Genomic DNA, 11,390 nt, shown 5'->3' with positions numbered 1-11,390 from the left:
TGTTTGTCAAATTTAAGAAGTTTTCAGCAGTTATTTCTAAAAACTTTTTTTGTGTCTGCACCAATTTCTCTTTTCCCTCTGAGACTCTAGTGTCAAAAAATACGTGATTTTCTGGTGTTGTCTCCCAGGATCCTGAAGTTCTATTCATTCTGTTTAATCCATTTTCTCAGTGTCCTCTGGTTAATTTCTACTGATCTGTCTTCAATTCACTGACTCTTTCTTTTGTTATTTCCATTCTGCTAGTAAGTCCATCCATTACATTTTTTAACTTCAGAAATATAATTTTTTCAGTTCTAGAATTCTTAATTTTCATAGCTTCTGGGTCTCCATCAATAACTTCTTTCTTTCTTTTTTTTTAGGCAGAGTCTCACTCTGTCACCCAGACTGCGATCTTTGCACACTGCAACCTCCGCCTCCCAGGTTCAAGCAATTCTCCTGCCTCAACCTCCCGAGTAGCTGAGATTACAGATGTGCATCACCACGCCCGGCTAATTTTTGTGTATTTTTAGTAGAGACAGGGTTTCACCATGTTGGCCAGACTGGTCTCGAACGCTCAACCTCAGGTGGTCCACCCGCCTTGGCCTCCCAAGGTGATGGGATTACAGACATGAGCCACTGCGCCTGGCCCTTTGTTTTCATCTTAAGAGCACAGTTATAAAAGTTGTTTTAAGTTGTTGTCTGATGATCCAAGATCTGAGTCATTTTTGGAATGACATGTGTTGGTTGTCTTTTTCCTTGTGAATAGGTCATACTTACCTGGTTGCTTGCGCATCTAGTAATGTTGGATCATATTCTGGATGTTTTGAATACCAAGTCCCAAGAGTCTGCAACTTGTTAAAATCCCTGGAGAAGACTGATTGTAAGCAGACAACCAATTCAGTTAAGTTCAGATGACAAACTGTCTCCCCTTCTGTGGTGGTGGTCCCGGTGGCACCACTTCAAGTTTCAAAGACTCTGTTCACTTCTCTGTATCTGCCTGTGCATGTGCGGCTTAGGCCTGAGCCCAGGACTTGTGCCAGCCCATACCCAGACTTAGGGATTCCCCTCCTCTAGCTCTCTCTTCTCTAGGATTCATCAACACACACTGCTTGGCTCACAGAAACGTCTTGGAGTTTTGTTGCCCATCTGCCTCTTTATGGTAGCATGACTGGGGTCTCCCTCACAGCAGGGCTGGGAAAGAAAGAGAAAGAGAGAGAGGAAGAACACAGGGATATCCCCCTGCATTCTTTGGTTCACAGGGGCTCCTTTTCCTGGTCCTTTGGCCAGAAAGACCGAGCTCTTCTTGGAGTTTTTACTGCACATGTCAACTGGGAAGTCACTTGACGGGGGGTTGGGGAGGGGTCTGCCTTTATATCAAAGCTGAAAGGGGCTGGGCGAGGTGGCTTATGCCTGTAATCCCAGCACTTTGGGAAGCTGAGGCGGGCAGATCACTTGAGGTCAAGAGTTCGAGCCTGGCCAACATGGTGAAACCCAGTCTCTACTAAAAATACAAAAATTAGCCAGGTGTGGTGGCAGGCGCCTATAATCCCAGCTACTTGGAAGGCTGAGGCAGGAGAATTTCTTGAACCTGGGAGGTGGAGGTTGCAGTGAGCTGAGATTGTGCCACTGCACTCCATCCTGGGTGACAGAGACTCCATCTCAAAAAAAAAAAAAAAAAAGCTGAAAGGGGTGGGAGTACAAAAAACTGGGAAACACATGCCTGTTTTGTGACTTCTTCAAGTTTTGTCACCCTCCTTCTTCCAATTTGCCTGCCATTATTTACTTTCCAGAGACCTCAAGGAGTTGGCATTTGTTTTGTTTAGAATTCTTAGTTTTCTTTTCTTTTCTTTTCTTTTTTTTTTTTTTTTTTTTTTTTTTTTTTTTGAGACAGAGTCTTGCTCTGTCACCCAGGCTGGAGTGCAGTGGCGCCATCTCAGCTCACTGCAGCCTCCGCCTCCGCCTCCTGGGTTCAAGCGATTCTCCTGCCTCAGCCTCCTGAGTAGCTGGGACTACAGGCGTGCACCACCATGGCTGGCTAATTTTTGTATTTTTGGTAGAGATGGGGTTTCACCATGTTGGCCAGGCTGGTCTCCATCTCCTGACCTCGTGATCCGCCTGCCTCAGCCTCCCAAAGTGCTGGGATTACAGGTGTGAGCCACTGTGCCCGGCCTAGAATTCTTAGTTTTCTTTGGGAGGCTGAGGCAGGTGGATCACCTGAGGTCAGGAGTTCGAGACCAGCCTGGCCAACATGGTGAAACCCCATCTCTGCTAAAAATACAAAAATTAGCCTGGCGTGGTGGTGCATGCCTGTAATCCCAGCTACTCGGGAGGCTGAGGCAGGAGAATCGCTTGAATCCAGGAGGCGGAGGTTGCAGTGAGCTGAGATTGTGCCACTGCACTCCAGCCTGAGAGACAGACCAAGACTCTGTCAAAAAAAAAAAAAAAAAGAATTCTTAGTTTTGATGAGTGGGAGAACTGAACTGTGCTGTGCCTACTCCATCTTGCCCAGCACAAGAAGTCCCAAAACTTAAAAAAATTTATAAAATTTAAACTTGAGGAGTAGTTTTGCTTCTGTTTGTAGGTAATCAGGTGTTTGTTTGTTTGTTTGTTTGAGACGGAGTTTTGTTCTTGTTGCCCAGGCTGGAATGCAATGGCGCAATCTCAGCTCACTGCAAACTCCGCCTCCCGAGTTAAAGTGATTCTCCTGCCTCACCCTCCCAAGTAGCTGGGATTACAGGTATGTGCCACTATGCCCAGCTCATTTTGTATTTTTAGTAGAGACAGGGTTTCTCCACATTGGTCAGGCTGGTCTCGAACTCCCGACCTCAGGTGATCAATCTGCTTTGGCCTCCCAAAGTGCTGGGATTACAGGCGTGAGCCACTGTGCCCAACCAGGTGTTCTTAAATATAATTTTTTATCTCCTTTCCTACCAAGAGGGGTTTTTAGAACTGTTTGCTTGGCAGGTGAAGAATCTGCACGTTGTGGTTCTTTATTACTGAATGAGAAAATACCAGACTTTACCTTAGCTTTATTTGTTCCCCAGTTCAACGGAATTTAACCTTAGAATTTCCTAAAGATGCTTTCTAAAAGTTTTTTATTTCTCTAAGTGTCATAGTACTGCATTTATGAATCCCAAATTGGCTTCCACTGTCTATTTAAACTTGATATAAGATACAGGAAGATTATTTTGTCACCACCCTCTTTCTATTCCAAACACTATTTACATGAAGGAAACTTTAGTAAGAGAAGATATTTTGGAAAAGATTTTGTAACCAACTTACACTTGTGTCTGTTTTTGTTTTTTTTGGTTTAAATTCAAGGGGAGGCCAAGCGTGATGGCTCATGCCTGTAATCCTAACACTTCGGGAGGCCAACACGGGTGGACCGCTTGAGCTCCGGAGTTCCAGAGGAGCCTGGGCAACATGGTGAAACCCTGTCTCTACCAAAAATACAAAAACATTGCCCAGATGTGGTGGCATGCACCTGTGGTCCCAGCTATTTGAGAAGCTAAGGTAGGAGGATGGCTTGAGACAAGGAGGCAGAGGTTGCAGTGAGCCCAGATCACACCACTGCGCTCCAGCCTGGGCGACAGAGTGACTCTGTCTCAAATTAATTAATTAATTAATTCAGGGGGAATGTGTACCTTATTTCATTAAAAGCAATCTTTTTAAGTAAATGGATTTTTAAAAAATCAAGCCAAACAAGTATGCCAATGTGAATTTTTAAAAATTTGATTTTGAAACATGCATTTTCTATCTTGCTGCAGTTTAAAGATAGAATTTACACCATATGGCCCATCAGTAATGCAGCATAAGAAACTGCATCTGTATTCCTCAATAAATAAGAGTTTGTGGAGGTTCTGATTGGCTTTTTTGTAGTCCCCCATAGAGAGGAAGAGCCAGTTAACCTGTTGCTAAGCAACAGTGCTTCATAGACCAGAACTTCTGGACACCAAAGAGAGGGTAGGGGTATGAATTGTCCAAATTTACAAAGGGAAAGAGAGGGCGCAGTGCACAAATGAATAGAGATCCAGGAAGCCACCTTTTGAAAACTAAGCAGAGGCAATTCAAGTGAGTATTGCAGAAATAAACCAAAGGCCCAGTTCTTAAGTTCTTCCATGCACATAACACCCATTGAACTCGAAGGAGTTCTGCATGTGTGAGGGCCAAAAGATTAACCCCAAAATAACTCAATGAAATCCAAACAAAAAATAATAATAAAATGAATTTTTATTCTCATGCTTGACTTTGCTGAAAGTGTCATCTTTCACAGGTTGTAAAAGAAAATCAACACTTAAGATTTTACTAAGAGATCATTCAACTTCAAATCTGAAGCACAAGAAGTCAGCAAAATTAAATGGCTATCATTGATTTGAGAATGGATTTTCACTTACATTTTAAATTAAATTGCTAACACTACAAAGTGTTTAAGGAAAACATGAACATTTCTGTTTTACTTCAGTTGTGAAGAGACTCTAATTTCCATCTCTGTTTAGAAATTCCTAAATGTGCAAATATAGGTTCTTTGCAAGCAGAACCACCAAGTAGTCCTTGGCACACAGAATTTATAAACCTAAAGAGAATATTGAATGGAAAACTTAGAGAACAGTTGGAATGGGAGATACCATTATCCCAAGTCCAATGGTTGGTTACCAAATAGCTTTTCGATTCTCTCCAAATTAAGCTCACACCAACAGTTTTGTATTGTGAGGCAGCTGGTTCTGTTGCTTTTCCTCCCCTGCTCTGCTCCTTCTCTGTCCTTCTGTAGCTGCAAGCCTCAGGGGTTGACCCACGCAGGCTGTGCTCACTGATGTCCTTCTCTTGCTTTTGGTTGGATTTCGTCAGCAGGTGAAGCCCAGGGAGCAAAAAGAGGGAGTTGCCAGATTATTTCTACCTCCACGCCCTCCCTGCCTGTCAAGGACTGAGTCCCAGGAAGATGCCAGCTCCAGTGCTTTCCCGCTCTTGCCGTCTCAGGCCACTCTGGCTGGCCGCTGGGTCCCTCAACATCCCCTGTTGGTTCCTTTAGCCCAGCCTACACCGCTGGAAATAGGCCCTTTATGAGATTCTCTTCTAAATCCTAGAAGAGTGTACCCTCCATTTCCTGAAGAATCCTGACAAGTATGTAAACATTACTTAATAATTGTTAGGTAAAAATACTATAAATATTAAATTTATAAGTAAATAAAAATATTTAATTTTACATAAGACAAAGCTAAAAATTTCAGTTTATAATTTTTAAACATAGACAATAAATTTCCCAGAAAGAAATTGCTGACTACCAACCAAATTTTCATTTTTATTTTTTAAATGTTGGAAAAATTTTGTCAGAAAGATTCTTATCAACCAATCAAATTGTGTTAGCAGTTGTGTTAGTAGTCACAAGGAAAATAATCAGTCATATTAGTTTTCTTACTATTGTTCATATTTTGTCTTTCAAAAATAGGTGTAATGTACAAATACTTCTTAATTAGATATGCTTAAATAAAACATTTCATATTGTATTGATTTGGGTATATTGTAGAAAATAAAAAGTTCCTCTTCAAAGCTTCCCTTCTTGTTAAAGAATAAATCATAAGTGTTAGAATTAACAGTTTCTTTTAAAGACTAACTTTATGCTAGACATGCTCACAGACACGTAGTACATTCTATGTCCTCGTACTTTAACCAAGATATCTGTGCTAGACGTGCACACAGGCATGTCTCAGCTCGCAGCCTATGCCCTTTCCTTATTTGGGAATGTTTATTCCTTATTTGGAAATGTTATTACTTTTCTAAGTCCTTTCGTAAGCAACTTCATTTTTTTTCCTTTGTTTTTCTATTGCCTTTACCTGTTTAAAAAAGTTTTAAACTGTTAGCCAATCGGGTTTTAGTTTAGATTGTGAGGTCTGGCTCCAGCCAATGGAGACAGGACACAGTAGCAGGGACAAACTGGGTAAGGGATAAAAATTGCTTCGCTCCATTGTTCCGGGGTGCTCTCGCCATTGTTCCAACTGCCATAAACACCCTTTCTGCAGAAAGCAAAAATGGCCTTGCTGAGAGAATTAAATTTATGTTCGAGTGCTATTTCTTTGTGGCACTGGGGAACAAGCATTCTATTTCTAAATAAACATTTTTACGTATAACAGTACTGAATATAACCATGGACTGTTTGCAAATTATATTGGAATCATGTAGACACAGCTTTAATAATGGATAATATAATTATTACTTTTTCTAGCCAAAAATCAGGAGCAGACTATGTATACAAGTCTGGAATGGAGGACTTTCCATTCTAGAAGAAAGAGTGGCCATTTTCAACTCTTCTTCCTTTTGAGACCTCACTAAAATTAGAGGAACAGAATTTAAAAATACATTACATCTCCATGATAAAGAGAACAGGAAAGGAAATATCAACAGACAAGGGGATTTGACAGATATTTTTGGAGGGAAGAAACGGTGGAGCAGAGGTAATTAAGCCGATTGGAGAGAGGCTGTCCTGCAGACCGAGTGAGACAAGGTCCTGGCACTGGAGAGGCTGCTGCCTGGATCCCTCCCCCAACACAAGAAATCAGGAAATCACCACTCCTCTTGCCCCAGGCCAGAGACTAGGTTTCTGTAGACATGGAAGGTAGAGGCTGCGGACCTGGACCCCAGACACAGGTGAGAGGAGAGGCTTTGCGCTAAAGAGAGAGAGAGAGAGAAAAGGAGGTGGGGAAGAAGAAAGGAAAGAAAGGAGGAAGAGAGAAGGCCAGGCGCGGTGGCTCACGTCTGTAATCCCAGCACTTTGGGAGGCCGAGGCGGGCGGATCACGAGGTCAGGAGATCGAGACCATCCTGGCTAACACGGTGAAACCCCGTCTCTACTAAAAACACAAAAAATTAGCCGGGCGTGGTCGCGGGCGCCTGTAGTCCCAGCTACTCGGGAGGCTGAGGCAGGAGAACGGCGTGAACCCGGGAGGCAGAGCTTGCAGTGAGCCAAGATCGGGCCACTGCACTCCACCCTGGGTGACAGAGCGAAACAACGTCTCAGAAAAAAAGAAAGAAAGAAAGGAGGAAGAGAGAAAAGGAGCGTGGAAAGAAAAGAAAATTTCAGGAGCTTCTACATTGGTTATGCCAGCAGAAACAGTTAAGCCATGGAAACTGAGTCACATACACGCTGTTTTTCTTCTCTGGTGCATGACCTTTGCTTCTGACCTTTGTGTTGAGATGTTATGAATTAACCACCCTTCCTATTCTTCATTCAAACCTCAACTAAATGACATTGGAGATAGAGACCCTTACCTCTTTACGATGGATGTTAAGTAACTCCCATAGAGTATAGTCAATGGTGGCCAGCCAACTTGTGTGTGTGTGTTTTATATCTTATATTTAAAAAATGAAAAAAATGTTGTAATTCTGGCCAGATACGTGGCTCACAACTGCAATCCCAGCACTTTGGGAGGCCAAGGTAGGCGGATCACTTGAGGCCAGAAGTTCGAGACCAGCCTGGCCAACAGGGTAAAACTCTGTGTCTACTAAAAATACAAAAAATTAGCCAGGCGGGCATGGTGGCGCACGCCTGTTATCCCAGCTGCTCGGATGACTGAGGCTTGAGAATCCCTTGAACCTGGGAGGTGGAGTTTGCAGTGAGCCAAGATCATGCCACTGCCCTCCAGCCTGAGCAACAAAGCAAGACTTTGTCTCCGAAAAAAAAAGAGCATGTTGTAATTCTGTTCAGCACCCCTGTTTTTTGCTTATATGAATGATCTTCACCTTTCCCCGCACTGAGGAGTGATGATCACCATTCTTTGGTGTCTGCTACCCTAACACTTGGCGCTTGAATAAACTCTTTTAAGTGGAGCCTGAGCCTTTTGATTATTTTAGGTTGACAGGAGGAAGGGAGGAAGGGTGGGTTAAAATTAAATCTGCATACTAAGCAATAATATCCTTGCTGCTCTTCTTCAACTGTTTGTAGGTTATTTCTGCTCTCAGGCTTCTGTTCTACCCCTAACTCTCCTGGCTACCCAAAGGCCGGAGGTTATCTACTGGGGAAATCTCAAAAGACTGTAGAAAAAATGTCTCAAATTCTGGTTTTGGGAGTCTTCCAAAAAAAAATTTTTTTTAATTTGGCTTGCCTCTTGAATATCCTATAGAGAAGTCCCAAACTGACAAACCTGGGCTGTCCTCCCAGATGCTCTACTGAGCTGTCAGTCTCTCCCTCTGGAATGGGAATAGAGCACCAAGCATAACCTGTTATTTGAAGAAAGGCTGCTACACTACACACGGACCCAAATGAACAAATATCAGGAGAACAGAAGTTAGGGGAAACAGAAGTGATGAAGAGAACAGAATAAAAGTTTTATTTTAAAATTATTATTATTATTATTATTATTATTATTATTTGAGACCAAGTCTCACTGTGTCGCCCAGGCTGGAGTGCAATGGCATGATCTTGGCTCACTGCAAACTCTGCCTTCTGGGTTCAAGCAATTCTTGTGCCTCAGCCTCCCAAGTAGCTGGGATTACAGTTACCCGCCACCAAGCCCAGCTAATTTTTGTATTTTTAGTAGAGATGGGGTTTCACCATGTTGGCCAGACTGGTCTCAAACTCCTGACCTCAAGTAATCCACCTGCCTCAGCATCCCAAAGCACTAGGATTACAGGCATGAGCCACCGCACCTGGCCAGAATAAAACTTTTAATATCTTTTATTAACACCGCACCCAGCCAGAATAAAACTTCTAAAATCTTTTATTACTATCATCAGATAAAATAAGACATTACATTCATGAAACAGAACAGGTATTAGAATATAAGAGAGAAGAAAATCCTCAAACAAAATTGTGGCAGCTGAACTAAAAACATCAAATAAGGATTGGAGTGTAATATTAAAGAAATTTCCCAGGAAGCAGAACAAAAAGAAAGTAAAATAGAAAAGGATAATAGAGCAAGTGCAATTAATTCAGAGAATCAATCCAGAAGGCCCTGATACCTGACTGAATAGGGTTCCAGAAAGAGGAACAGAGAAAAAGGATGTGAAGAGTTGCATTGATAATAGTACTACTAACACTATTTTTTGTTCTTTGTCTTCAAGAAAACCTCTCAGAGTTGCAGTGTATGAGTCTCTGGATTGAAAGGGCTCAATAGATGCCCAGCATAACGATGAAGAGGACCCACATCTAGACATATATTGGCCTGAAATTTTCATGTATTTGGGATCAAGAGAAAATCCTGAAAGCTTGTAAATTAATGCTGTTCAATATGGTGGTCATTAGCCACGGCTGACTGTTCAGCACTGGAGATGTGGCCACTCTGAATGGAGATGTGCTGTAAGTGTAAAATAGACACTGAATTTTGGTGGGCTCAGTAGAAAAAAAAAGAGTAAAATGTCTCATTAATATTTTTCATTTTGAAAACATGTTGAAATGATTTTGTATATATATATTTTTTTTAATTAATTTTTTTTTTTTTGAGATGGAGTCTCACTCTATGGCCCAGGCTGGAGTGCAGTAGCGCAATCTTGGCTCACTGCAACCTCCACCTCCCTGGTTCAAGCAATTCTCCTGCCTCAGCCTCCTGAGTAGCTGGGACTGCAGGCATGCGCCACTATGCCCTGCTAATTTTTGTATTTTTAGTAGAGACGGAGTTTCACCATATTGGTCAGGCTGGTCTTGAACTCCTGACCTCGTGATCTACCCACCTCGGCCTCCCAAAGTGCTGGGATTACAGGCCTGAGCCACCACGCCTGGCCGAAATAATATATTTTTTAAACATTGGGCTAAATATAACATATTATTACAACTACTTCCAGTTGTTTCTTTTTATTTTAAGGTGGCTCCTGGAAAATTTTAGATGACATAGACGGTTTCTGTTCTGTGTCTGTTAGACGGTGCTCTGCAGAGAAGCAGACAGGTCATGCATAAGGACACTGAGGCCAGAATGATATCTGACCTTCAGCAGCAGCTCTAGGAAACTGAAGAAAAATGATCCCCCTATTCAGAGAGAAATAGTTTTCAACCTTAGTAGTCTACATTCTGGCAAACTTTCAGTCAACTGAAAGACAGTTAGAGACATGCAAGCACACAAAAGTTTACCTTCTTTGCTGTCTCCTTGAACGTTCCTGAAGGAAGTACCCCAGGAAATAAACTTGTAAACCAATGGCATGGAAGGCATGGGATTTAAAAGCAGGATGTCCAGTATAGGACTCGGAGCAAGTTGTGCAGCAGGTCCAGGAAGCAGACAAGCCCGTGCAGAACAGGAAGTCAGGGGGCTCAGTGGGAAGTCATGGCACCAGTGGATTTGCTGACATAGGGAGTCTTCTGGCTCATTGGAAGACACGTATGTAGACAACAAAGTTATTTTTTGAGAGGTGATAATTTAAGAAAAAAGTTGTACTCTTCCTGGCTCATGTGAACAGTATCTATATGACACAAATAATAATGTGAACTCAAAGACTGTGTGGTATGCTTACACCAGGGGAATGGGGGAGGGAGAGCAAAGTGCACTTGAGTTAGATAACATCTGTCAAGACAGGGAGAAAAAAGATAATGTCTAAAATAAATAACAGCACATGCATACTCCTTAGGAATTGGAAGGTAAATGGCAGAAGAAATGGCTTAACAATTTGTACGTGGTTTCTTGTGACTTCTTATGACTGTATAAGACCAGGGAGCAATAGGGAGGGGAGGCACAAGGGATGCTATTTTGTTTCTATTACTATTTGATTTTGTAAAACTATACACATCAATTAAAATGATAAATATTATAGTTACAGTTTTCTTGTTTTTGTTTTTATTTTTAGAAAAAACAACAACAAAAGCAAGCACAAAAAACAGCAACAGCAAAAGGCTCTATTAGACATCATTATATCCATAGTACTATGTGCGGCACTGTGGGGGATTTTTTTAAATGTAAATAACCAGCAGGCTTATATATAATGCAGCAAGTGTGAAAAGCATCACAGGTCTAATAATAATGTATGTAGATGTCAGTAAAGTATACTTTTGCTTCTAGTGCTTCACTTGCCTCATGATATCCATCAAGCTTTTGAGAAGAAAGTACAGGATCTGTTAGGTTCTTTTTTTTTTTTTTTTTGAGATAGAGTCTTGCTCTGTCTCCCAGCCTGGAGTGCAATGGCGTGGTCTTGGCTCACTGTAACCTCCGCCTCCCGGGTTGAAGCAATTCTCCTGCCTTAGCCTCCCAAGTAGCTGGGACTACAGGCACGTGCCACCATACCTGGCTAATTTTTTGTGTTTTGTGTAGAGACGGGGTTTCACCATGTTGGTCAGGCTGGTCTTGATCTCCTGATCTCAGGTGATCTGCCCACCTCGGCCTCCGAAAGTACTGGGATTACAGGCGTGAGCCACCATGCCCAGCCAAGGATCTGTTAGGTTCTTAACCTAGCAGTTTACCAGATGCATTCCTTGATCAGCCTGCATGTGTCAAACCACTGAGT

At 42.1% G+C, this 11,390-nt stretch overlaps 1 long non-coding RNA gene across 4 annotated transcripts; it reads left to right on the top strand.

Moving 5' to 3' along the window:
• Positions 2,837 to 10,708, top strand: LOC107987097 (uncharacterized). 4 transcript variants are annotated; one of them, XR_007061669.1, is made up of 3 exons: positions 2,837 to 3,492; positions 4,253 to 9,264; positions 9,767 to 10,708. It is a non-coding gene; the product is annotated as an uncharacterized LOC107987097 (long non-coding RNA). The 4 variants fall into 4 exon arrangements; XR_007061670.1 differs by having other exon boundaries at positions 6,197 to 10,708; XR_001746841.2 differs by having other exon boundaries at positions 4,828 to 10,708.
• Positions 10,709 to 11,390: the final 682 nt, after the last annotated feature.

The sequence above is a fragment of the Homo sapiens genome, chromosome 9 (assembly GCF_000001405.40).
Source record: "Homo sapiens chromosome 9, GRCh38.p14 Primary Assembly".
Lineage (NCBI taxonomy): Eukaryota > Metazoa > Chordata > Mammalia > Primates > Hominidae > Homo > Homo sapiens.
This window is presented reverse-complemented; position numbering and strand designations above follow the sequence as displayed.